Below are 27,841 nucleotides of genomic sequence, written 5' to 3'. Positions count from 1 at the left end.
TCCTGAAAGCTGATGCTCCAGCATTTTCAAACTATTGGTTCTTTTCAAAATTGGGCGCCAGGGTCCCCAGGCCAATGCCATCGAGGAAGGCGCCGGGCCCCCTGGAAACGCTCCTCCCCTTTGGAGGCGGATTTCGAGGCGGGGCTCCCACGCACGCTCCGTGCCCGCGGGCCCATTGGAGTGGCCGCTGGACGCGTGCGCAGGACCCGATGGGTGCCCGGACGCGGAAGAACTGGCCCAGCGGAGGTTCCCGCTTCTGAAGCGTGGGAGGCGGAAGAGACTGCAGGTTGTAGATTTTGGTCTTGGCCCCAACGGGTTCCCCCAGACCATTAGAACCCGAGAGAGGAAGAGGAGGCACCGCGGCGGCGGCTGAGAGGCCGAACCCCCAACCTGTCCTCGAGGCGGGAGGGGGGCAGGGAGGGGAGAAGCACCGATCCCAGGGCTGAGGAGCCTCCGGGACCGGGTCCGGGAGCATGGGGGGCTGGACCGGGTCCCCGAGCATGGGGAGCTGGAGCCGCCAAGGCCGCCCGGCCGGGTCCTACCCGACTGTCAGGTCCTCGGTGCTAGCGCTGCCCGGGCAGCCGCAGCATCTGTAGCCCGGCCCCGCTTGTGGTCCTCAGCCGGAAAGATAGCAGCATGAGTTCCGCCGCTGCCTAGTTTCCTCCCCCTCCTCTTCTCCCTCCTCTCTCCTCTTCCCAGACCACCTCCTTCTTTCCCGCCCCTGCGCTTCTTTTCCCTTACCCTCTGTCCTCCTCCCTCCCCTCTGCCCTCTCCCTTCCCCTCCCTCCTCCGCCCCCTTCCTCTCCCTTTCCCCCCTCTGCCCTCCTCTTATCCTCTCTGTCCTCCTGCTTTTCCACCTATCCTTTTCCCTCCCTCTTCCCTCCTCCCTCCATCCTTGTTTTCCCTCCATCCTTCTTTCCTTCATCCTTTTCCTTCATTCTGTCACCTTCCACCACTACCTCTTCGTCCTCCTCTCCTGCCTCACCATCATCCTCCCTTCCTCATCATCATCCTCCTTCCCTCCTCCTCTCCTACTTTTCTCCGCCCCCAGCCCCCGCCCCCGTCCCCAAGCCTCCGCCCCTTAGCCCCCGCCCCCAGCTGCCAGTCCCCAGCAGCTCAGTCCTGCAGTGAGAGTCTTGGGAGTCCATAGCTAAGCACCAGGAGCTGAGCACTGCCCGCTGTGCCTGCCTGCAAGTCTGACATGGCTCAGGAGAAAATGGAGCTGGACCTTGAGCCTGACACATCTTATGGGGGAACCCTGAGGAGATCCAGCAGCGCTCCCCTAATCCATGGGCTCAGGTGAGCAGGGTTGGGGAGGATGGAGTACAGGATTCAGGGGCTCCTTGCCCCCATGCAAGCAATCTTCCTTCCTTAAAGTGCACGTTTGAGCTCATTTGGGCTCTTCAACCTGAGGGGGTGGCGACTTGTTTGCTTGACAGTGACTTGGGTCCCAAGGTGGAGTGAAAGTTTAATCTCCAACTTTGGGCAGTGTGGAGGAAACGGTCCCCCTCTACCTGGGGCCATGTTGTCCCTCTGTAAAAGGAACTGCAGAAAGCTTCTGGCTCTTCTGACAGGTTGCTTGCCCCGACTAACTTACACCAGGGAATGTCAGATCGAAGCCCCTGGAACTAGATGTGCAACTTGACACCTGTCTCTCAGAGCTGCTATTTCTAAGCTTAGTTTAGGAATCCTGGCATTAACAGATGTTTACTTTAATAAATCACAATTTATCTAATAACTTGTAATTAAGTGGTATGTTCACATCGTAGTACGTGATTTGGATTTGCCCTAATGTTTTCAGGTTCTAAAACTGCCTGAAATGCATTGCAGTGAATAAAAAAGAAGGGTGGTCTGTAGCTTAGGGTCAGTGAAAAGGCAGGTTTTAGAAAACGGTGGAGAGAATCGACTCTTCAATTTCAGTGGTAGGGTCTTGTGTTTTCATGTCAATAAGTCATCGAGGGTCTGTTTTAAGGTAGCATCTTGTAATAGTGAAGGTTAGGTTGGCTCACCTCCTGAGCCTATTGTATTTCACTTTTATAAGGAGACAATTCATCTTAGGTAGAGAGCCAATTTGCGAGACCCTGTAGAAATGGCATTAGTCCAAAAAAGGAGATGAGAGTACAATTAGCCAAAAACATATTAATCAAGCACAGTGAAGGCAAAGAAAGAGATAATCCTTGCTGTTGAACTGATTATAACATCCATATTTTGGGGAAAAAACAGGTTGACTTTTTCATTTATTAAGTATAATTTTGAAACTGAGGGAATGTAGGAGTGACTTTTTGCTTTCCTGTTGCTGTCCTTGGCCCTGCATTTATTTTGGTTACTATAACAATAAACTGGTCTTTTTCTGATTGTCTTTTGAAATCTCATAAGCAAGCAATTGCTAGGGACTTCAGCAATTCTATTGACCTGTATTTAGACTATTGTAGCAAAAACATACTGTTTTTTGAATCATGATTTAAATAATCACTGAAAACACAGCATGATGTGACACAAGAAGGGGCAAGGAGACCAGGCCTGGTCCCAGTTTTCACTAACTAGCTATGATCACGAATGAGTCATTTAACCTTTCTGAGGCTGTTCTCTCTTTGAAAATTAAGAGAGCTGAATTAGGTGATCTCAGTGGGCCCTGAAAGCCCAGTGCAGTTCAGTTCTGAAAATCCTTCTGGAATTCTCATCCTTATTGTGGGCATCGCCCTCTGCTAGGCACTGCAGGGATATTATACAAAGATTAACAAAACACCTCTCTACCAATGGGTTTAAGACACATCCACATTTCTCTTTAATTAAGAGACAAAGTAGGTGTCTCAAGAAGCATCTCATCTCCCAGTGTACTCTTTGGGTTCAAAGGAGAGAGTGATTGCATTCCGTTTGTGGATTGAAGAGAGGTTTGTGCCATGCCTTCACTGAAGGGTATGGCATTCAAGATGGATGTGGAAGGACAGGAAGGATTTTAATAGATGTTGGCAGGAGGGAGAGCATTTGAGGCAGAAGGGGCAACAATCTCAGCTATGTTTATTCCATCAAACAGCAGTGTTCAAAGGTAGGACACATGTTTAGGGTGAGAGGGGAGATGTCTTGATCCAGCTCATATTGTAGAACAATGCTCCTCACCCCTTTTCGCATCATGGCAAACACAGAAAACAGTACTCATTGGTTCTCTGGGGTAAACAGATGAGGCTGCTCAGGTCTGGTGGTAACCGGTTTGGGGGCGTAGCTCTGACCAGAAGCAGCTAGAGTCAACCAGTCTGGAGCTCCGCCTGCATCACCTCTCCCAGCTGCCCCCCGACCACTGAGATCAGTATCTCTGCAAACCCATAATCCACAGCATACCACTTGGGAAGCTCTGCAGAGAGGACGGTGAGGAGTTCATTCTCTGTATGAAATGAGGAGCCATGGAAGATTTCGTTGTTAACTAGATAACTGATGCTAATGTATTTGAAAGAGATCTTCCATTAGAAAACATTACTAATTTTGTTTTTTTTGTTTGTTTGTTTTTGTTTTTTTCAGTGACCTTTCACAGGTTTTCCAACCTTACACACTTAGAACTCGGAGGAATAGTACAACAATTATGAGCCGTCACAGCCTGGTAAGTATAGAAGTAAGTATCTGAAGTGATTTAGATTGGGGAAAATACTTTGAAATGGAGTTCTTTCTTAAAATGATGTGCTATGCACAATTGTTTAAGAAAGAAAAGATTGATTTTACCTATGTTGTTTACTGCTTATGCTGTGGCCATTCAGCTTTTGGTACCAAAAGGATACATGGTTAAAAATTTTTCTTTGCTGTGTGACTTTGTATTTTTTAAAATTGTTCATTATTATTTGTCACTACTTGCATCAGGCTTGTGAGGTAAGTCAGGATTAACTCCTAATTATAGCTGAGAACAGTGGTCTTCATTTGTCGTAGGATGCACAAATCACTTAAAGGTAGCAGAGTGTTTGTTTCTGACACTTACCTGTTAAACAATGCTGGTTTTCCAAAATGAAGACTCCTTTAAAATGCTTGTATTTATATTCTCTGAAGAGTTACTGATTGTGACTGATCTCTATAGCCAGAGCTGTCAGGGATTGCTTTATTAGTTGGTCGCATTGGGAGAAATTATGATGAGGTTTTTTATATAGTAGCAGTTCACATGTGGAACTCACTTATCAAGCAGCTTCAATTCTCTGGAAGACATCCGAGGTGAAAGAAGATAGATCCCTAAATGGCAGAACTAGATTTCCATAGTCTGTGCACAGAGGTTCATCGGTTTATTTATAGGAGAGCCTCTGACCTCTGAATCATCTAAAATGTATGCACAATTATAATAAGCTTCCAATCCAATAGTGTGTGAGAAGCAGCAAATTAGAAGAGATGCATTTTGGTTAAAAGTATACTAATAGCTGCTAGCAAGGGAGGAGAGGGAAAAACTGAAAAACAGATGTTTTTAAAAAATTAGTTTGTGGCTAATTAGTATAAGGGCTAAGAGCCTGTTAGTACACCCCAAGCGTGTCACTGGTGTAGAATCATATAATAATTTACGTTCTTAAGGATACCTGGGTCATTAACTTATTCATAAATTCTAGTAATACCTACACTTGCATAGTATTTTACGTATTACAAAGTACTTTCACACATTTAATTGTCATAACAGCCCCTATGAAATAGGGAGGGCAAAGATATTTTTCCCAATTAAAAGAAGCAGCAGCTAAAACTCAAGACGTTAGAAGTCACTTGCTCAGAATCGCACAATTAGTAAGTGGTAGAACTGGGATTAGAATAGAGATCTCCCAGTGCAATTCTGTTTGGTATAATTTGTTTAAGAAAGGGAAAAATAGAACACATTGTAGAAAGATTTCCAACTGAAATGGCTGAAAATACTTACAGGGGGAAATGTTAGCTATCTGGAGGTTTCATTCATTTCACCTCCTTCTCTGAGGACACTGGAAAATATTACTTATTTTTGCTGGATATATGAAAAAATGTTTATACATGTTATACAGCCATGCTCCTGATAACAGTAGCATAGCAAAGAAGGGAAAGTGAATTTGCCTCTCTACACTTCACTTACCTCTTTTGTAAGATGAGAAGATTCTTATCAACCATGGTCTAGGTTCATCTCTCACTGAAATACCTAGTTTTCTGAAAGGGCCATGGTGACTCACTGCTCTTTGTTGATCCTTATCATCTTTTCATTCCTACCCCTCTCCTTTCTAGCTTTTTGGTCTTCCAAAACTCAGTTTAATCCTTATATCTCCTTTGGGCAGGCTTCCACAACTATCATAATATTAATTACACTATATACACTCTATCACAGGATGTGCTATAAATCTTAGTACGTTTATCTGTGTCCCATGGTAACCTGTGATGAGTAAGGTGTTTACAAATGAAATGGACTGGATATGCAGATGTAGGATCTTCATGGCTCACCAGCTGATTAGATATAAGGACTAAGAGAAGGAAGACTCCAAGTGATGGAAATTTTGTATTTTGGTGACCGGGGGTTGGCGCTGCCTTTAGTAGGAGTAGAGATTGGTAGTTTGAAGGGGAAAAAGATGAATTCTTTGGGACATAATTGGATTTAAGGTGCCTCTGGCCCCATGATATTCTTCAAAGCAGTATTCTCACTTTTTTAAAAGATTCTGTCCGCTTCCAGTGTAACCACTTTTTACTTTGAGCAGATGACCCTTCTTACTTTACAAAGAAGACAGACACCTATCTTGTGTAAATGTCAGCTTTCTTTGCCTTGAAATGCCTTTAGCTTCACATATGGCATTTCTCCCCAATGGTTCATATGCTTTTGACTCTCCTGTTGCTTTGCTCGGTCTATCATCTCCTCTCTATCTTGTATCTTTTCCCTATTCCTCACGGGCTCTCTTCTTTCCACCTTCTCCAGACTCACTCATCTGATGGGGGAAAACAAACTGTTTTCTTTTTCGTAGGTCTCTCCTTCCCTTTTCCTTCCCCTCTCCAAGTTCTTTCAAAGCATAATCTACACTCCACTGCCTCTAATTCCTTGTCTCCTCATTTCTGGCCAGTTTGTAATCATGCTGCTTCTACCACAACTCCATTAAAAAACTGTTCTTGCAAAAGTCACCAGTACCCACTTAACTGCCAATGTCAGGGGCCTCGTTGCTTATCCCCCTTGACCTCTTTGCTTTATTTAACCCCATTAGCCAGCACCTCCTTGGAGTTCTGGCTTTTTCTTTTCTTTTTTTTTTTAAGCCGACACATTGCCCTGTTGTTTCTGGTACTACACACAGCTTTGCTCTGTTCTTCTTTCTGGTCTTCTTTCCAGTTTTGTCTAAAATTGTCAAGTTGTATATTATGTAAATGTAGCATGTAAATTTCTGACTTTCTCCCCAGTTAGTTTTTGGCCATCCTCATGTCAGCTTTCCTGATCATTTCACTGCTTCTTCAGTTTCTTGGGTTTCCCTAAGTGACACGTCTGCGCTCTCTTCCACAGTCTCCTGTTGGAGAGTCTTCCTGCTGTATTTGCTTGCCTTGTAGCTTGGTGTTTTCTAAATGATCTTATTAAGAGTTCACCAGTGGCTGGGCGCAGTGGCTCACGCCTGTAATCCCAGCACTTTGGAGGGCCAAGGCAGGAGGATCACGAGGTCAGGAGATCGAGATCATCCTAGCCAACATGATGAAACCCCGTCTCTACTAAAATACATTTATCTTATACTCCAGTCTCCCTTAATGGTTGTAAAAATTCGCTGGGCATGGTGGTGTGTGCCTGTAGTCCCAGCTACTCAGGAGGCTGAGGCAGGGGAATCACTTGAACCTGGGAGGCGGAAGTTGCAGTGAGCAGAGATCATGCCATTGCATTCCAGCCTGGGCAACAAGAGCGAAACTCTGTCTCAAAAAAAAATAAAAAGAAACTTAGAGCATTTTATCACTATTTTATACTGCTCACTACATTAGTATTCAAATAAGTTTTAATAGTGTAGGGCCTCTTAAACAGGATAATTGTTATTTGGTTTTATAGTATTACAAGTTCACTTGCATTTCGTTATAGAATAAATAGTAGTCGTTTATATTATGACCACTAGAACTCTCTAAGACCTGTTGATATGAATTGTGTCTTACAGTTTGTGACCAGCTTGTAATTATTGTGAAGGAACATAATTTGGCCTCCAAATCATTTCTGCTTTGTGTTATTAAAAAATGATGATCTAAGGGAAAGCATCAGTTATTTTAAAGATACACCTTGTCTTTCCAAATTGTTTTTTGTTAACTAGTAAGATTTGTAGTGATAGCATATGATGAGATTTTAGAATGGATTTGGATCGTGAAAGCAAAACCTCCTTATTGCAGTTTTAAAGTGTTTTTGAAAATCATCAATCATAGACAAAATATTATATACTAGACTTATTAGCCTGTCTTCCCCCATTGCTGCATTGATAATAAAAATTAATAACATTGGTGTTTTTTTTTCTTTCCCTTCTCATATTGTTCTTTATTTTAGATAAGTGGGATAATGGATATTTCTAAGGCCCATAGTCTTTATTTCTCTAAATTTACGTAGCTTCACATTCATTTGGGAAAAGTGCTGAAGTCAGTGTCTGTCTAGCAACAGATGGCGCTTTGAGGTTGGACACCTGGTGTACTTTTTGAAGACTAAATGTACTGCCTTTAGTGCATTAACGTTCAGTGATCTAAAGAGCTAAATTTTGAAGAAGAATATGAAAACTTACCTAGGAAGAGGTTGTACGCCAGTACTGACAGCAGACTGCTGCTTTGTGATTCAGAAAATAGTAAATGTTTACTTTTTCTTTCCAGTTGCTGTCATCCTCACCTAATCGTATTCCTAGTAGCAGACTGCATCAGATCAAAAGGGTAAATTTTACTTACTAGCTCAGATTGGAAATTTTTTGGATTTTACATTTTTATTTTAAAGACGTAGATATTAAAATGAATTAGGATGCAACTCTGGTTAGTTGGAGACAGATTATAATTCTTCTGGAGCGTGTAGATAAAATATACAAGCGGCATGAATGTTCCACTCTACTGTGATTATGTCAATGAGGTAGAAAAAGTCTTTTTATTTTATTTGAAGCAGAGAACTATGTGGATAAAAATTGCAGTGTGTGGAAGAGTTAATATTTTGTCAGTGATCCTGCCTTTTTAGCATATATGTTTGTCTTTGCAGGAAGAAGGCCTGGATATGGTGAACAGAGAAACTGCACATGAAAGGTTAGTGCTTTGCAAGAGCAGGGCCTAGCCTAATAAGTGTCTTGTTTGTAAACACTGACGGCCCTTCCCTTTGTTTATTTTAGGGAAATGCAAACGGCAATGCAGATAAGCCAATCATGGGATGAGAGCTTGAGCCTGGTAAAGTTTGCTCATGTCTGTTTGGTTTTCATTTTCTAGAAACTTTTATGTTGTTCACTAGGTTCATTAATTTTTTCGCACACTTCTTTCCCCTTCTACTTCCAAATTGATACTTGTTTTTTGATCTCTGCTTTTCCAGCAGAATATTAGAGTCTATACCTTTCTCCTTGGAAAATCTGGGTGTGTTATAGTAGTAAGTAAGAGCTGTGATGTGCTGAATTTATTATGAGGAGATGACACTTTATGTTTACAGAGTGACAGTGATTTTGACAAGCCGGAGAAATTATATTCTCCTAAGAGAATTGACTTCACTCCAGTTTCTCCAGCACCTTCACCCACCAGGGGATTCGGAAAGGTAGGATAACTGACAAGATATTAAGTGTATTTCACAAACTGAGCTGTTTACTCTAAAACACACACAAATCACCCCACTTTTAAAGTATCCAATGCCTTGAAGGAAAATCAATGAAAATCTACAGCAGTAATTTGGAAAATATACATATATATATGTATATTCTTGGTCTTCTTAAAATATATATATATATAACATATATATTACATATATATAACATATTACATATATAACGTATATATTACATATATAACGTATATATAACACATATATAACATATATAACACATATATAACGTGTATATATTACACATATATAACGTGTATATATTACACATATATAACGTGTATATATTACACATATATAACGTGTATATATTACACATATATAACGTGTATATATTACACATATATAACGTGTATATATTACACATATATAACGTGTATATATTACACATATATAACGTGTATATATTACACATATATAACGTGTATATATTACACATATATAACGTGTATATATTACACATATATAACGTGTATATATTACACATATATAACGTGTATATATTACACATATATAACGTATATATTACACATATATAACGTGTATATATTACACATATATAACGTGTATATATTACACATATAACGTGTATATTACATATATATAACGTGTATATTACATATATATTACATATATATATATGTAATTTAGTTATGAGACACACAGACAGCCAAGCAATTCTAAAGATATTGTTTCTGTCATTTTGAAAAGAACCTTTTGAAAATGATTGTGGGCCTGGTATGGTGGCTTATACCTGTAATCATTCCAACTCTTTGGGAGGCCAAGGTGGGAGGATCACTTGAGCTCAGGAGGTCGAGAGCAGCCTGGGCAACATGGCGAGACCCCATCTCTACATTAAAAAAAAAAAAATAGATACAAAAAAATTAGTCGGGCATGGTGGCGCACACCTGTAGTCCTAGCTCATCAAGAAGGTGGGGCAGGAAGATGGCTTGAGCCCAAGAGTTCGAGGCTGCAGTAAGCTATGATCGCATCACTGCACTCCAGCTTGAGCAAAAGAGAGACCCTGTCTCTAAAAAAAAAAAAAAAAAAAAAAAAGAAAGAAAACTGGAGTGCTAGAACTATTTTAATATTGAATATGTTTTTTCTAGTAATGTTTTTCACCCTTCTTACAGATGTTCGTGAGCAGCAGTGGATTGCCACCAAGTCCAGTTCCCAGTCCAAGACGATTTTCAAGGTAAGCAAACTTGAATTTTAAATGTGGTTGAAGTACCATTCATTACATTTATCTCTCAGATTAGCTTTTTGTGGCTGGGCGCAGTGGCTCACACCTGTAATCCTAGCACTTTGGAAGGCCGAGGCTGGTGGATTACCTGAGGTCAAGAGTTCAAGACCAGCTTGGCCAACATGGTGAAACCTCGTCTCTACTAAAAATAGAAAAATTAGCTGGGCCTGGTGGCAGGCGCCTGTAATCCCAGTTACTCGGGAGGCTGAGGCAGGAGAATCGCTTGAACCAAGCAGGCGGAGGTTGCAGTGAGCTGAGATCGCACCATTATACTCCAGCCTGGGCAACAGAGCAAAAACTCTGTCTCAAAAAAAAAAAAAAAAAGAAGATTAACTCTTTTTCCCAATATTTCACTGTGAAATTTTCAGACATCAAAAGTGAAAGAATTTCACAGTGAACAACCATATACCCACTGCCTATAATCTACCATTAACATTTTAACCAGAGTTTTTTCTTTTCTTTTTTTTTGTATTTGAGGTGGAATCTCACTCTGTCGCCAGGCTAGAGTGCAGTAGTGTGATCTCAGCTCACTGAAACCTCTGCCTCCTGGGTTCAAGCATTTCTCTTCCCTCAGCCTCCCAAGTAGCTGGGATTACAGGCATGCGCCACCACCCTCGGCTAATTTTTGTATTTTTAGTAGAGATAGGGTTTCACCATGTTGGCCAGGATGGTCTCAATCTCTTGACCTCGTGCCCTCCTCGGCCTCCCAAAGTACTGGGATTACAGGCGTGAGCCACAGCGCCCAGCCCCAGAGTTTTTTAGGGGGAATTTAATGCTGATTTATATTTAGTGGGGAAAGACACACATACATACCCCCCACAATAATACATCCTTTTTAAGAATAAGGAAAAAATGTTAAAGTTCATAGATCAATCAAATCCAAATTACTTTATTTATTTATTTTTGCGACGGAGTTTTGCTCCTGTTGCCCAGGCTGGAGTGCAATGGTGCGATCTCAGCTCACTGCAACCTCTGCCTCCCGGGTTCAAGTGATTCTCCTGTCTCAGCCTCCTGGGTAGCTGGGATTACAGGCATGCACCACCACGCCTGGCTAATTTTTTGTGTTTTTAGTAGAGATAGAGTTTCACCATGTTGGTCAGGCTGGTCTCGAACTCCTGACCTCAGATGATCTGCTTACCTTGACCTCTCAAAATGCTGGGATCACAGGCGTGAGTCACTGCGGCCCAGCCCCAAAATACTTTTTAAATAGGGTATCTTTTTTTCTTTAAACTGTTGGGGGTATTTTGTCATATAGAATATTTTTTAAAGGACTTAAAATGCTGTATTATTCCAGGTTGCCATATGCTGGTTCAAATCATGTATTGGATTTCAGTTACTCAATTACAGAAGAATTTTCCATTTCAGTCATTGATAAGATTGTCCATTTTATTTATGTATTTGTTGGGCTGGACTGCTGTTTTATCTTGCATCGTGGATGTTCTTCACATTATCCTGTTTGTTTTTTCATCAAAGCAGGAGAAGTCAGAGTCCAGTCAAGTGCATTAGACCCAGTGTTCTTGGTCCTCTTAAAAGAAAAGGTATGTAGCAGCGTGGTGACTATAGCTAATGCTACTGTGTCACATACTTGAAATTTGCTAAGAAAGTAGATCTTAAGTGTTCTTACCACACACATACGAAAGGTAACTAGGTGAAGCAAAAGATGTGTTAAAAACTTGACCGTGGGCTGGGCATGGTGGCTCACGCCTGTAATCCCAATACTTTCGGAGGCCGAGGCAGGTGGATCGCCTCGGGTCAGGAGTTTGAGACCAGCCTGGCCAATATGACAAAATCCCATCTCTACTAAAAATACAAAAATTAGCTGGGCGTGGTGGCAGGTACCTGTAATCCCAGCTACTTGGGAGGCTGAGGCAGGAGAATCGCTTGAACTTGGGAGGCGGAGGTTGTGGTGAGCTGAGATCGTACCACTGCACTCCAGCCTGGGCAACAGAGTGACACTCCATCTCAAAAAAAAAAAAATTGACTGTGATCATCATTTCACAGTATGTACATACATCAGATCATCACATTGTATACCTTAAATATATATAAATTTATTTGTCATTTATACTTCAGTAAAGCTGGGGGGAAAAAGAAAAAGATAAGCATCACGCTTCTGGTCTTATACCTAGCCAAGCTTGAATTAAAAACTAGAACTCCTGTCTGAAATGAGCTAACAGCATTGCTCTCTTGTGTTCTAGGGAAACTCAAAAGTATTCTTCCAAATGTTTGCTGTGCTGATTCTCAATTTTGTAAATGAGTTATTTGATACATCTATATTTTCTTATACTTCATAACAGTTTTATTCATATATTCATATTATCATTATATATTCAAAAAATTGCCTCTCTGTTATCTAAATATGAAAGAGATGCATAGTTTATAAACTGCAGAAATATATGCTAATGCCGTAGCAAACATATCCATAAATGTGCTGTATACTCAAATATAAGGTAAGGTTTACCCCCTCATCAAATTATGCCTCATCAAAGCAAGAATTGCCTTATATTCAATTCTATGGAGTTTTTTATATAACAGGGTGCTCTCAGTTACCTTATTTTGAACCACAAAGCAGTAGGCTAAAATAGTTTAGTTTAGTATCAGTCAACACTAGTGTTAGATGCTTATAAAGGGCACCTGATGGCATCTCTTTAAAAAGGCAATACAGGTCTGTAATACCAGCACTTTGGGAGGCCGAGACAGGAGAATTGCTTTGAGCTCAGGAGTTTGAGACCAGCCTAGGCAACATGGCAAAACCACGTCTCTACAAAAAATACAAAAATTAAGCAGGCGTTGGTGGCTTGTGCTGTTGTCACAGCTACTTGGGAGGGTGAGGCTGGAGAATTCCTTGAGCCCAGGAAGCAGAGGTTGCAGTGAGCCGAGATGGCAGCCTGGGCCACAGAGTGAGACCCTGTCTCAAAAAAAAAAAAAAGCAACACAGGTTTTTGTTTGTTTTTTTTGAGACCGAATTTCGTTCTTGTTGCCCAGACTCTGGAGTGTAGTGGCGTGATCTTGGCTCACTGCAACCTCCACCTCCTGGGCTCAGCGATTCTCTTGCCTCAGTCTCCCGAGTAGCTGGGATTAGAAGCACCCACCACCACCACGCCTGGCGAATTTTCTGTATTTTTAATAAAGGCAGAGTTTCACCATATTGGTCTTGAACTCCTGACCTCAGATGATCCACCTGCCTCGGCCTCCCAAAGTGCTGGGATTACAGGTATGAGCCACCACGCCCAGCCGGCAACACAGGTTTATTCATTATTCCTGGGGATATGACTACATGATTGCAAGTGTCAACGTGTCATTTTAAACGAGTCTTAACAATAACTTTTTTTTTTTTTTTTTTGAGGCAAGGTCTTGCTCTGTCACCCATGCTGGAGTGCAGTGGTGCAATCTCAGCTCACTGCAACCTCTGCCTCCTGGGCTCCTGGGTTCAAGCGATTCTCCTGCCTCAGCCTCCCAAGTACCTGGGATTACAGGAGTACACCACCATGGCCAGCTAATTTTTGTATTTTTAGTAGAGACAGGGTTTCGCCATGTTGGCAACACTGTCCTCAAACTCCTGGCCTCAAGTGATCCACCTGCCTTGGCCTCCCAAATTGCAGGGATTACACAGGTATGAGCCACCATGCCCAGCCATTAACAATAACTTTTTTTTTTTAATTGAGACCAGTCATTAACAATAACTTTTTTTTTTTAATTGAGACGGAGTCTTGCTCTGTCACCCAGGCTGGAGTGCAGTGGTATGATCTTGGCTCACTGCAACCTCCGCCTCCTGGGTTCAAGTTATTCTTCTGCCTCAGCCTCCCAAATAGCTGGGATTACAGGTGCACACCACCACGCCCAGAGAATTTTGTATTTTTAGTAGAGATGGGGTTTTGTCATGTTGGCCAGGCTGGTCTCAAACTCCTGACTTCAGGTGATTGCCTGCCTCGGCCTCCCAAAATGCTGGGATTACAGGCGTGAGCCACCGTGCCTGGCCAACCGTACTTTTAAAAGCAATTCAGCAAGTGGTTTCTTTGTGCGGATCACCTTCAGGGCCAATAAACAGACCAACTTTTCTAACGTTAGGGGAACAGGTATTTGTGGCTTTGAAAACTTTCCAATCATAGGATCATACACAGATTCCAAAAGTGCTGTATTTCAAACAACTTAAAATTAAAGATGGTGTGCTCTGGAAAATAGTTCCTGATATGGTGACAATATTTGTATTTAGTTTATAAGTTTTATTTTATAAACAGTCTTTCCTTAATCTTATAGGGAGTTATTTGTAGTCCTAGGAATGTTCTCAGTAGCCAGTAAGTGAAAATAACAGTTGGAAATAAAGCTATTATTGTTGTTATTATTACTAACTTAAAATTTGTTGCAGGAAGTTGAAGGAATTAGTATGGTTGTTTAGTTTTACAGCTATTCCGAAATACACCAGCAGATGGAGGAATTCTTTGCTCAAAAGAGCTAAAGTCTTTTGCTAGTGAGGCGAACTCAAAAGCCCAGCAGCAACTTTTAAAAGCTGCATATTAAAGCATGGAAAAAAACAACTTTTGAGGATTTTCAGCAATTTTCAGAATAGTCCCAGAGGAAAGATAATATGAATTAGTTGATAACATGGACAAAATGAATGTTGCGTTTGTTCTTGCTTGATCTTTTTTCATTCTAATTGTACAGTTTTAAGTTCAAAGTTACTAATTTTCTACTGGAGTATAGACAGGCTCATGAATTAAATTGTCTTGAACATTCCGTTTTCAAGCTCAGATGAAGAGCTTCAGAACCAAGGAATGTGTATGTTTTAAATAAAATCAGAGCCTGATTTTAAAGGAGATTATTCTAACTTAGGGTTTTACTCTTTGTACTCCTGGTAGCAAAATGTTAAGCATTATCCCTGTTGGTGCAAAGTTTTTCTATTAGCAATTCTGAGAAGATCTGTATGATTGAGGTGGTCAGTACAATACCAGTTTTGTGAATTGAGTAAGATTTGCTTTTGATTACAGGTGTGTTTTCAAACTTATCTTTTTAATCTTCATTTTCATTAAATAGTGTGAAAGCAACTTTTTACTTATACACTACTTATCAGACTACACATTTTTAAACCAGTTTGACACCATCTCAGGAAATGTTCAGGTATCAAAATATATAAAACCAATAGGCCTTGCTAACCATGTAGCATACAATATTGACTGTGAGTTTCAGTTATTTGGGAATTCCTTATCTCTACTGTGGTCAGCCTTGCTTCATTTTGCCTGATGCAGTCAGTGTTCTACTTTCCTATTAATGTGAATATGTCCATAGCACGCTGTGGATAATGAGTGAGAAGTTTTTTAGGGCTGCCAACTTTTTGATTGAGTTTATGTGGAAGCATATTTCTTCCATGTTAAAGCACATGGGAAAATAGTTTTAAGAAGTGGTTTGAAGAAGTATTCTGAGCTTTGGTTAAACAAAGGTCATCATATGTTAGCACCACGCCTGTATTTGTAAAATTGTTTTATAGTAGCATCATCTCTTTCTGTTTTAGGTGAAATGGAGACAGAAAGTCAGCCCAAGAGACTCTTCCAAGGCACTACCAATATGTTATCTCCAGATGCCGCGCAACTGTCTGATCTCAGTTCATGGTAAAAAAATGAAATAAAATGAAAAGTATATTAGAGTATAATCCATTTTAAAAGAGCCACATTGAAAGTATATTGGGATAATTTAAAATATTTTTTTTTGAATTTTGTTAATATTTATTTTTTATATCATTATTTTGGGGATGTGACAATATTATAAAACAGATACCTGACAAAACTCAAAACACCATTGCAAAGAGATTAGAAAGAGTTGATACAGGTGCTTCGTTAATAGCAAATGAATCTGAATAGCAGTTGACTTAGATTTTTATCAAGTCATAGTAAATGGCATTCTCTAGGAATCCAGAAATGTGGTCCTAAAACATGGTGACTTGGTAACTAACAGATTTTTAAAAATTATTACAGTGAATGAAGAAGCTTCTCTTCTTTTAAGTTTTAAAATTTTTTCATCACCTCAAGTCTGAAGAAGCTTCACTTGAGGTGTTTAGCTCAATAAAATTATGCTTTCTGCCCCCCAGCTCCTTACCATCAAAATTGTCCAAAGATTCTAATTTAAAATATTTTCAACTTCTTATCCATGCCCCCATGAAGGGGAAATCTCTATGGAGGATAATGTGAAAAAACAGATTATTTCAAAGTCAACAGTATTTCATTTGGAAATATATATGTCTTTCTGACACCTTCGCTTTCGTTCCCAGCTCCTGTTAGGTCAGCCTGTCATTAGTTGCCAATGGTGTGGCAGTGCCAACTGCTGGCTGGTGTGAGAAAGAGTCTCTGGGTGGCTGTGGGTAATGTGTATTGATTGTAGCTGCTCTGCCTGCATTTTGTATCCAGTCCTTTTGACTTAGCAGAGGATACCAGGATTCTCTTAAGCATAGTATTCTCTGATTAGCATTATCTATTGTTATCTTTTAGAAAATTATGAAATATTTCAGAACAATGCTAAGGTTTCATTTTTATAATAACATTTCCTGATTCTTACGGTCTAGTCACACACATGTTTTTTAAATCTTACTCATCCTAGTTTAGGTCTTTAAGGGCCTTCAGTGTTTTCATGAGAACGTTAACTTCTTTTCCTATACCTGAAGTTGAGCACTTGAGTGCTCATGTGCACATTGGAAGGAAGGGGAAGGGATAAGTAGCAGTGACCAGGTAATATTTTGAAATATTTCAGTATGTTCTGATCAACTCACTGAATACTTGTGTAATCAATTGTGTACTGTTTTTCAGAATTTTTTTTGTTCCCTGAGTTTTACAGCTGAGGATTTTTTTTGTTTTGTTTTTTTGAGATAGGCTCGCTCTGTTGCCCAGTCTGGAGTGCAGTGGTGTGATCTTGGCTCACTGCAGCCTCTGCCTCCCGGGTTCAAGAGATTCTCCTGCCTCAGCCTCCCGAGTAGCTGGGACTACAGGCATGGGCCACCACGCCTAGCTATTTTTTTTTGTATTTGTAGTGGAGATGGGGTTTTGCCATGTTGGCCAGGCTGGTCTCGAACTCCTGACCTCAGGTGATCCGCCCACCTCGGCCTCCCAAAGTGCTGGGATTACAGGCGTGAGCCACTGTGCCCGGCCTGAAGATCTTTTTAAAAAGCCCATGAGGGCACTCACTTTAAAAATAGCAAGATCATACCCCTTAAATGGAAGGAGTGTATAAGCCACTTATAAGCTATAAGAATGGATGATCCCTTCTTCCCAAATCACTTGTTCATTGTTTCGTGTGAAATAACCTGTACTTCTAGTTGACCAAGAAGTCACAGATTATTCTAGTTTGTTAGTCTTGTTGATCAGTACTATTCTAACCTTGGAACAGATAGATGCCTTTTAGATTGTTCTAGCTATTTTCAGCTCCATGGTCTCTTTTCCTCTCATCTCTGTCTGTCCTTGCTAGTTCAGTATGCTGATTTTGGTACAGAGTGCCTTTCCAGGTATGTAGATGATGGCAAAGAGAAAACTTCTGAAGCTTGTCAAGAGGACTATTGGATGAAACTCTATCCTTAGTGGAAAGTGCATCTCACTTTTATGGTAAAGTGTGTTTTAATAGGCACATGGCTATAAATAGGTTTGCTTACCTAGTTACTAACCAAGTGACCAAGTTAAGTAAAAGATATGACAGCATTTTACCAAGCTAAAAACATACAGGGTGAGGTGACTTATTTTTTTATTGTCTTTGGCTGACAGTGCAGGATGCTGTAAAACAGGTTCATGCAAATAAGTAAGAAAGGAAAGAGAAGGTGCAGTATTTACGAAGGGTCTTATCTCATTGTCCAGACATTTATTCCTCCGAGCAGCACAACCTAAACCATCTCTAGCAGTGGCTATTGTGAGGCTTCTATTTCCTTGTCACTACTCCCCTACCCTGTAGACCCGTGAATGTCTAGGAGAGCCCTGGGAACGTCAACATTGGTGATGAAGGAAACTTTTTATTTTATTTTATTTTTTTGAGACAGAGTCTCGCTCTGTCGCCCAGGCTGGAGTGCAGCAGTGCAATCTCGACTCACTGCAACCTCCGCCTCCTGGGTTCAAGCTATTCTGTCTCAGCCTCCTGAGTAGCTTGGATTACAAGCACGTGCCACCATACCCGGCTAATTTTTGTATTTTTAGTAGATATGGAGTTTTGCCATGTTCTCCAGGTTGGTCTTGAATTCCTGACCTCAGGTGATCCACCTACCTTGGCCTCCCAAAGTGTTGGGATTATAGGCATGAGCCACTGCGCCTGGCCAACTTTTGATTCTTAAACGTAAAAAGCTGTTGTGGCTGGGCACAGTGGCTCACGCCTGTAATCCCAGCACTTTGGGAGGCTGAGGCAGGTGGATCACGAGGTCAGGAGATCGAGATCATCTTGGCTAACACGGTGAAACCTCGTCTCTACTAAAAATACAAAAAAATTAGCCTGGCATGGTGGCGGGCGCCTGTAGTCCCAGCTACTCGGGAGGCTGAGGCAGGAAGAATGGCGTGAACCCGGGAGGCAGAGCTTGCAGCGAGCTGAGATCGCACCACTGCACTCCAGCCTGGGCGACAGAGCGAGACTCTGTCTCAAAAAAAAAAAAGTTGTTGCGTCACACAAGAGACATTTGCTTTATTCACAGCCACTCATAGAGTGTCAACAAGCCAAGTGTGGTTCAAATAATCTGAAAAAGAAATCTGTTACTCAAAATTCACAAAACTAAGTGTCAAAGATAGTTAAGTCATTAATTAAACTTCCAGTTGATGTTTTTAGTCAGTTTGCAGCAACTGTACTCCTGAGGTTATTAAAGCTTACAATTGTGCTAAGACTTTGGGGACACCTTATATACTAATGATGCTGATATTTTTGCCTATAATTAAGAGATTTTTAAATATGATTTTTTTTTTTTTTTTTTTTGAGACGGAGTTTCGCTCTGGTTGCCCAGACTGGAGTGCAATGGCGCAATCTCGGCTCACAGCAACTTCCGCCTCCCTGGTTCAAGCAATTCTCCCACCTCAGCCTCTCGAGTAGCTGGGATTACAGGCATGCACCACCACGCCCGGCTAATTTTGTATTTTTTTTAGTAGAGACAGGGTTTCTCCATGTTGAGGCTGGTATCGAACTCCTGACCTCAGGTGATCCGCCCGCCTCGGCCTCTCAAAGTGCTGGGATTACAGGCGTGAGCCACCACGCCCGGCCCGATTTTTTTTATATAAAAACTGGATCCTGGCCAAGCACGGTGGCTCACGCCTGTAATCCCAACACTTTGGGAGGCCGAGGTGGGCGGATCACTTGAGGTCGGGAGTTTCAAGACCAGCCTGGACAACATGGTGAAACCCCGTCTCTACTAAAAGTACAAAAACTAGCTGGGCATGGTGCGCATGCCTGTAATCCCAGCTACTTGGGAGGCTGAGGCAGGAGAATTGCTTGAACCTGGGTGGCAGAGGTAGCAGTGAGCCAGGATCACACCACTTCACTCCATCCAGCCTGGGCAACAGAGCCAGACTCTGTCTCAAAAAAAAAAAAAAAAAAAAAACCAACCAAACAAACAAAAACTGGATCCTGCTTTTGCAGAAACTTTATTTGAGACGGAGTCTCGCTTTTGTTGCCCAGGCTGGAGTGCAATGGTGCAATCTCGGCTCACTGCAACCTCCGCTTCCTGGGTTCAAATGATTCTCCTGCCTCAGCCTCGAGAGCAGCTGGGATTACAGGCATGTGCCACCACGCCCGGCTAATTTTGTATTTTTAGTAGAGATGGGGTTTCTTCATGTTGGTCAGGCTGGTCTCGAACTCCCAACGTCAGGTGATCCACCCGCCTCGGCCTCCCAAAGTGCTGGGATTACAGGATTACAGGCGTGAGCCACCTCACCTGGCCTTTTTTTTTTTTTTTTTTTTTTGATACAAGATCTGGTCTATTGCCCAGACTAGAGTACAGTAGTGTGATCATGGCTCACTGCAACCTCTGCTTCCCGGGCTCAAGCCATCCACCCACCTCGGCCTCCCGAATAGCTGGGACTACAGGTGTGCACCATCACGCCCAGCTGATTTTTCTGTTTTTGTAGAGACCGGGTTTCGCCATGTTGCCCAGGCCGGTCTTGAACTCCTGCGCTCAAGTGATCTGCGTGCCTTGGCCTCCCAAAGTGTTGGGATTACAGGCATGAGCCACCGCACCCAGGCTCTTTTATCTCTTTAATGTAGTTTCATTAATCAGAATCAGATGTTCATATTCTTAGAAATGGGGATAGAGATAGGAATCAGCTGTGTTCTGGTTTCTGCTACCAAGGTTGGCAACCTACTTGATAACAAAACTAAGGAATCTGTGCTAGGCTTGATAGGGCTGCGGCTAATTTTTTGTTTATTTACCTACCTGCTGTTAATCTGATAGAACCCAGCTTATTGACTGAACAAGACACAAAGTGGTTCAGCCAGATGGGGTGATAACATGAATCAAACCGGATATCTTAGTTTTGTGATTACTTTTATCATTGGATGGTTTTAATGATTTCCTATTTTAATGAAACTACAGAAACAACTGCCCTCTATCTTTTAGAGAGCAGAAAAAGGATCAGATCATTAGATGTTATCTTGTCATTTAAATATTTATAGTCTATTCCCTGCCCCACCCAACAAAAGGAGAGATGGCTTTTACAGCCTTTAGATTAAAGTTTATGTACTAGATAACAATCTTTAAAATCTGACATCTTTTGAAGCATAAATTAAGTTTGAAATTTGAGTGTGGACCCATTTGGAGTTTGTGTCCAGTTAGGCATACTTTTTTTTTCTTTTCTTTTCTTTTCTTTTCTTTTACTAAACGAAAATTCCCAAGTCTTTGCCAACCAAATCTGGAGGACATTATCAACCACAAGGCAGGAATTATGTCATTCTGTATTTAGTCCTTATGGACATCAAAATTTGAGCATAACTCAGAAGTCTACCTTTGATTCTTTCTGCACACTGGGAGCTCTTAATCTGCTCTTCATTCTTTTGGGGGTGAGACTGTGTGTGTCTGCAGCATACTATATAAAATAAAGGAGTTTTCAGGGCTGCTGGCCATACGGTGATGATTAAATGATAGTCTTTCTTTTTTATGAACGGAAAACTTACAAATTTCCTTACCCCGTGCTTCAGTGTTAATGTGATAGTTTTAACACATTTTTTGTTAAATTTGTCTTAGTGGTTCTAACACTATTTTTAATGTTATATGTGTCATGTCAAAATTTCATCATGAATATGTGACAAGTACAAAACATAAGTTTTAATCATTAATTAACAGGAATGTGTATGTCTGTACACATCTCTAAAGTACATGTGTATACACACACACACACACACACACTTTAGAGATGTTTATGTGAGCAACTTAGACATCTGTGCTGATAGTTTAAAACTCCTGTCTACCTTCACCATAAAAATGAGCAAGTTAAAACAGAAAAAACAACAAAAACACTCCTGTCCTCAGCATGACTGCAGACTGATATTTAAATATGTGATCTTAAAAACTTAGAGGTTATTCAGAAGGATAATACTGGGACCCTTAAGATAAGATAGTAGAGACCAGAGAACATGCCATATATATCAGTTTAACCCAGAGCAAGGGGTGTGGGGATGCCCTATAGTCATACCTTATACCAAAATTTGTGCTAGGCTTGATAGGGCTGTGACTAATTTCTAGTGCATTTACCTGCCCGTCATTAATCTGATAGGACCCGGCTTATTGACTAGACAAGGCACAAAGTGGCTCAGCCAGATGGGGTGATAGCATGAATCACACTGGACATCCTACCTTTGTTATTACTTTATCATTGGACTGTTTTAATGAGTTGCTCATACTTCATCCTTAGTTTTTCTAGACAGAGGGCATTACTTTAAGTCATAAGTACTTTTTTTTTTTTTTTTTTTTTTTGAGACGGAGTCTTGCTCTGTCACCCAGGCTGGAGTGCAGTGGTGCAATCTCAGCTCACTGCAAGCTCCGCCTCCCGGGTTCACGCCATTCTCCTGCCTCAGCCTCTCCAAGTAGCTGGGACTACAGGCGCCCGCCACCACGCCTGGCTAATTTTTTATATTTTTAGTAGAGACGGGGTTTCGCCGTGGTCTCGATCTCCTGACTTCGTGATCCGCCCACCTCGGCCTCCCAAAGTGCTGGGATTACAAGCATGAGCCACCGCGCCCAGCCAAGTCATAAGTACTTTTGGTTGTGTGATTCAAATATTGCCTCAATATGTATATTCAGTGGCTGGAATTAATTTGTTCAGTTTTGATTCAAGGATTCCTATGTCCAATTTGAATTGTCCAGATCCTTTTTTACTGTTGTCTGGCTTTCGGCCATTAGTCTAAGTAAGGCTCATTAGCACTTCCATCAGAGCTTAAGCTAGGAAAGAAAGAAGAGATAAACTCAAATTAGACCAGAACTTGTTGCTTTTAGAAGCTCTAGTAGAAGATTTAATAGTAGACTGTGAAAATTACTTTTGTGCAGTGATGTTGCTGTGGGTTAAAAAATCATGTAAGTCTTACTTGACATGGATAGAATAACAATGAGTGATTTGTGACGTGAAGTCTCTGCTTCCATGACCATGAGTAGTTGTACCAGATTAATTCAAACAGAAACTAGATTTTAGTTAAGTGAAAATGTCTGGTTAAAGATTTACCAAGTTCTGAATCTAAATTGCAGTGGAAACTAAATGTAAGTGTGCTATTTTCTGTTAATGAACAAAATTATATATATTTATATTTTAATAATAGGGAAGACATTCTGAAATAAAATGTTCAGGGCTTTTTTTTTCTGCTCCTCAATTAGCTTATTTCTCTTAAGGTAATCAGCAGTGTTAGAAGTCAAATTTCACTGCATGAGTCATGTTTTGTGTTTTTGAATGAATACAGGATTCACCCAAGCAAGCAGGCCTTATTACAAATGGAATCTTTTAACCCAGGGCTCACCGTAAGTCTGGTGGTTAGAATAAAGAATTCTTTATTTATATTCAGATTATCTGCTTGGTGGCCAAGTTTTAATCTAAGCCCATTTCTTCCTGCCAAGTAGCAAAGAGCGTGTCCTTCGTTTGCCCGGCCAATATGTGCTTTAGGAAAGTAAATTCATTTTAATATTAGTCTAGGCAAAAAGCTGCAGGAGGAAAAATCACATATGTTCCAAAGGCAAATAGAAAGGTCTTTTGATTTTCCAATGTCTTGGATTATCTGTGCAACTTTCTTTCAGTAGTTTGAATAATTCATATTTTAGATCCATTTTGCCATTTGGTTGAAAAAATATCGGAGCCAGCTAAAATTTCCAAACTTCTTACTTAACAGTGGTATTATTAATGATGCATTTGACAGCAGTGAGCGTAGAGTAGGAGTAGTGTGGAATATACTGTTTCCATTTTTACTTTTACTTTTCTGAAGCCTATTTGTAGTCTGTCTCCATCTAAAAACAATCCACAAGCAATGGAATGAAATGACATTTTAAAGAAAAGCAGAAGAGTAGAGAAGCAAGGGTGGGGGTGATATATTTCACTGAGGGTAGTACAGGGCCCAGAAACTTTCTAATGTACCATAGGTTACTTTTAACACTAGAAGTACATTAACTTGGACATTCAGATAAATGATAATATTAAAGACTCCTAACATTTCGACTCAGAGCATGTTAGACTGGAATGGGCTTTTTCAAAGGAGCTAGTGACCAAACTTAAACTAGAACCCATGTTTCCTGATTCATAATTCCTTCTCCAATTCGATGCTTTTTTCCTTTTCAAAAATAAAAAGTGTCTGTGTAAATTCTAAAACTGCCCAATTACCTCTCCTGATTTGTCTGTCACTGATTCCTGGAACTACCCTTGCTTCCTCCCAAATCTTAACTAGTTAATACCTGCTCATCCTTCAGATTATAGCAAATATCATCTCTGGGGAACCTTTTCTCATTCCTCCGAATTAGGTTAGGTTACCCATGTTATATATTCTCATAGCCCCTTGTATCTTTCCTTTATCACTTTTACTGCAAATTATAATTATATATTTATTAGCATGATTATTTAAATGTCTGTCTCCTGCACAATACTGTAAATTCAATGAGGGCTGGGACCACGTCTGTTTTAAACACCATTGTATTTCTAATATCTAGTGTGCTTCCTGCACTTGGCAGGCACTCAGTAAATATTAGAATAAGTGAATGATTGAATTCAGGGCAAATATAAAGCATAGAGCTTATTACTGGATTGATGGAAACCAAAGCCAGAAAGGCAGCTTGATGCCAGACTGTAAAGGCTCTCAGTTCCTTGCTGAAGTATGGAGCCAGATTCATGAGTCAGGCCAGGTTGATGGTTGGGGAACAGTGAGCCCCCAGGCTGGATAGGGAAGGAATCCCTGGGCTGGGTATAGAGGTTCTTGATGTCCAGATCTGGAGTTTTACTGGAAGGATAGGAACAGGAGCCAGTTGTCAGGATAAAGAGGCAATAGACAACGGGTATTGAGACCACAAGTGTAGATTATTCATTGTAGAAGCTTAACTGGAGAATAACTGAAGGGATCAAAGAAAGGGACTCTTCTAGAAATAGACCTTTGGGTTTTGAAAGCAAGAAGAAAGGAAATAGTGTAAGGAATTATAAATGGCATAGAATTGGAGGGGGAAATCATTTAAAAAATGTGTTTGAATTGAAGGCCCTTTGGGAATGGGGAAGTGATAACTCTAGGGGAGTTGAAAGACTTTGTTTTAGAGTAGAGGAACTATGAGGCAGTGTACTTGATCGAACACCTCTGATAGTCCGAGTATGGTTACCTCAATAAGTAACCATTCCTCTTGCTCCAAGCCTGATGGGAAGGTAAACATAAGAATAGAAATTTCTTGAGCTGAAGTGAAGTGAAGGAACTCCCTCCCGAAAACCATGGCATGTCACGAGGAACGTTTATTGTAGGTTAGGCGGTCTGGTGCCTCTAGGGGGGACAATCAAATGATACAGGACCTCGAAGAGTCTTACTTTGGATTTCTGTGGCTTTATAATGTAGTATATTATGTAGTTCATTGCTGTGGCTTTATGCTTTTTTATTATTTACAAGTGATTTACTGATTTGTGAGCTCTTGAAACTGTGTCATTGCATGTTATGTTTACCCTGATAGTTGCATTTGCTTATAATTCTTTTTGCTTTGTCTTCAGTTCAGATATTTTGGATGGCAGTAGTAGCAGCAGTGGCTTATCCTCAGACCCGCTGGCTAAAGGCAGCGCTACCGCAGAGTCTCCAGTAGCATGCTCCAATTCATGCTCTTCGTTCATCTTGATGGATGATCTCTCACCCAAGTGACTTAACCATTTCTGATTCAACGTTTTAACTGCTGTTTCCTACATAAAATGTTTAGTGGGGAACGCAGAGAACTTTGATCCATAATGAGGATTAAAGTTTTACAGATTTCACACATTCTGATGCTATTATTACTCTTTGGCATCTCTCTTCTCCAAAGTTCAATTTTGTGAGCCTAGTGACCTTACTAGTATCTGGTTTTGCTGATCTCATTTTGGATTTAGTGATTAAATCTCAAATGCTGATTTTTGATTGCTTAGAGGAATCTTTTTTCTTAGTGCCTCAAAAAACACCTATTTTGAGTCTATACATTTAAGAAAGGCACTGATGTGTATTGCCTTTAATGGTCCTTTTCCGCAGCAGTGATATGACAGATTTGATCAGAAATTCTCTTGCTTGAGAGATTTTTTTTTGTCCTCTGTTGACTACATAGTTTCAAATCTCTCTTTATTTCATGATGATATATAAATTGCTTTTAATTATATTAAATTTTTATTTTTCTGCATCAGCTTCAAGTACATTATTTTGTTTCCCTTTCCTGTTTGAGCCGCTTATGCCATTTCTCACAGAGGGGAAGAAATACGTAGTTGCTTTCATTACTCTTATTGCTTCTTTGCTGTTGGGGTGTGTGAAGTGAGCATTGATTTTAGTGCTGAGAATGTAAACGGACTTACAGGATGCTTGGATTAGTCATCACAGGTTCTTATGACTTTGCTACCACAGTTGATATATTTCTCCTCAAACCTGTTGCCCTAAGGAATATATAAAATATTGTTGATATTTCTAGGTGGTGTTATCAAGGAGAAGAAATTCCTGCCTTGACCAGATGTGTGGAGCATCTACAAATGAATGAATAGTTATTTACACACAAACCACTGTGTACAAAAGCGTCCATGGAGCTGTCAGTGTCTCGAGTGGTATTATGAGGCCTCAGGTGCCTTGGGGTACATTGTCATGCTATAAGGGATGTATATCATAAGGTATGGTGGAAGAGGGGCCTTATGTGAATGATTGCCACATACTGTTTCTGTTGCTGCTTTTTTTCCGATTCCTTTTTGTCATTGGATTTGTTTGTTTTGTCATGTGGTGAATGGTGTTTTAGTTATTGTGTTGCTGCCAGAATCAGAATCCAGTTCTTGTTCTTACTGCCTTATAGTTATTGTGTTGCCACCAGAATCAGAATCCAGTTCTTGTTCATACTGCCTTGTAGTGAGGGCAGTTTAATATCTACAAAGAAGCTTTTAGAAGCTGAAAAAGTCAATGTGATTGTGCATTCTGCTTTTAAGAAGCTGTTTCAGCTATGAACTGTGTATGTGCTATAAGTGTGAGGTACCATAAGTTATTTAATTTTTAAAAGAGGAAACTCCTGAGTGAGCTGTTTAAGAAATCTGAGTGTGATCTATTGTTACGTTATTTATAACTAGGTAAAATGTCTGTCGTGATAGATTTCTTTTAACGTTCAGATACTGTGGTTGGGTTGTCTATATTTAATATGCAGATTTGCCTGCTGGAATCATAATCCATTTTTAAGTGAATGTAAGAAATGAAAACTACTGCATTTGTGTCTTTTGAAGGCAAGGATCCTTGGATTTTAAAGGAAGAGTATGTGCTTTGAAGGCACTCAGAGACTAGTAATAGCATATGGTTTGAAGGGAAACCCATTCTCTTTCAATTACAAGAGAGCATCACTTAGCGTGCAGTACTTCTGTTACAGCATCCGATGTGTCCTTTATTTTAAATTGTAACCATAACAGCCATTAATGGCTTTATTTCTTGTATTGCTCTCATCTGGGAAAAGTCTCTACTTCTTCAAACGTAACATAAATCTATTATGAAGCTTGTCCCCTAGTATGCCATTATAAAGAAAAAATTCTTCGATGGTATGCAGTGTATCTATTCTGTTTGTAAAAGATCATGTCAAAATGTTCTGCCTCTATAATGATAATAGATGGTTTTGTCTTTCAGGATATTTATCCACCTACTGTCTTCTTTGCCTTAAAGGGACACTTGGCCATCATTTTTAGGCTCGAACTTAACACTGTTAAGAAATAACTGAAATATGATGGTATTTACATTAATTTTTGAAATTCAATGGTGGGATAGAATTAGGTCAGGAAATGGAAGTTGTTCCAATGGTGTGAGAACTAGGAGACAAGATGATTCACTTTATTATTTAAACCAAGCTTCATTTTTAGTTTTTGTTGTTTAAATGGACTGGAAAGTTAAGTTTTTGCAGGGATTGTTTTGAAATAAAGAGATATGCTAACTCACAGATGAACTTTGTTAAGACCCCTTTATTTTTATATAAAGTCTAATATTTGAAAAGCGATTGTTATAAAGTAAAATTCTCTCTTCCTATTCTAATATATATCATATATTTCAGGCTTCTATTTGAAAACAGGTATAAGAGATGATATGATACAACCCTATAGATAATGTTTTTTGCTTGATTGACTTATATAATCACTGTTTCATGATTACTGCTTTTGGAATAATAGGAAGTTTTGTGAAATGCTGGCCTTGTGTATATCTTAGAATGCAAATTTAATAAAGTGTGTATACATGCATAAAATTTA

The 27,841-nt window shown here is 40.3% G+C and overlaps 2 protein-coding genes across 48 annotated transcripts in view, besides 2 other annotated features; one reads left to right on the top strand and one right to left on the bottom strand.

Annotated features, from left to right (window-relative positions):
* The window catches only part of PABIR3 (PABIR family member 3), a 68,408-nt gene extending 67,365 nt beyond the window's left edge, over positions 1–1,043 (bottom strand). For 14 of the 22 annotated variants that reach the window (XM_005262382.2, XM_011531296.3, XM_047441878.1 and 11 more), the window contains exon 1: positions 543–630. The gene's annotated coding sequence lies outside the window, so the exon portion shown is untranslated. Of the gene's footprint in view, positions 1–542; positions 631–959 lie in introns of those variants that run through there. The other 8 variants (NR_170982.1, NM_001388446.1, NM_001170780.3 and 5 more) reach the window with 3 other exon arrangements.
* PABIR2 (PABIR family member 2) lies at positions 202–27,841 on the top strand. Of its 26 annotated transcripts, none has more exons than NM_001166600.3 (11): positions 202–286; positions 1,052–1,299; positions 3,514–3,592; positions 7,771–7,827; positions 8,141–8,184; positions 8,268–8,322; positions 8,576–8,677; positions 9,874–9,935; positions 11,460–11,521; positions 15,490–15,586; positions 26,053–27,841. In NM_001166600.3, exons 2-11 carry the CDS (start codon positions 1,202–1,204, stop codon positions 26,120–26,122), a joined length of 726 nt encoding a protein of 241 aa, NP_001160072.1. In that variant the 5' UTR covers positions 202–286; positions 1,052–1,201; the 3' UTR covers positions 26,123–27,841. The 26 variants fall into 26 exon arrangements, with proteins under 26 accessions (NP_001160072.1, XP_011529587.1, XP_011529586.1 ...); XM_011531285.3 differs by adding an exon at positions 25,124–25,264 and having other exon boundaries at positions 202–1,299; XM_011531284.3 differs by adding an exon at positions 25,124–25,264 and having other exon boundaries at positions 202–1,299; positions 11,457–11,521.
* Positions 427–506: a silencer, noted in NCBI's record as "silent region_21014". NCBI's record gives its function as "represses an Ori minimal core promoter by ATAC-STARR-seq in GM12878 lymphoblastoid cells {active_cell/tissue: GM12878}" and the evidence as "EXISTENCE:reporter gene assay evidence [ECO:0000049][PMID:35858748]".
* Positions 597–646: a silencer, noted in NCBI's record as "silent region_21013". NCBI's record gives its function as "represses an Ori minimal core promoter by ATAC-STARR-seq in GM12878 lymphoblastoid cells {active_cell/tissue: GM12878}" and the evidence as "EXISTENCE:reporter gene assay evidence [ECO:0000049][PMID:35858748]".

The sequence above is a fragment of the Homo sapiens genome, chromosome X (genome assembly GCF_000001405.40).
Source record: "Homo sapiens chromosome X, GRCh38.p14 Primary Assembly".
Lineage (NCBI taxonomy): Eukaryota > Metazoa > Chordata > Mammalia > Primates > Hominidae > Homo > Homo sapiens.
The sequence above is the reverse complement of the archived record's forward strand: the minus strand, read 5'-3'. Positions and strand labels throughout refer to the sequence as shown.

Bases quoted from the DNA above. Each gene is read 5' to 3' on its own strand.
- PABIR2 (XM_011531282.3), top strand. From the start codon at position 1,202: ATGGCTCAGGAGAAAATGGAGCTGGACCTTGAGCCTGACACATCTTAT. The intron at 3,605-7,770 runs GTAAGTATCTGA...TTTTCTTTCCAG, and splicing joins ACAGCCTGGTAAGTATAGAA to TTGCTGTCATCCTCACCTAA. The intron at 25,265-26,052 runs GTGACTTAACCA...TGATATTTCTAG, and splicing joins ATGGATGATCTCTCACCCAA to GTGGTGTTATCAAGGAGAAG.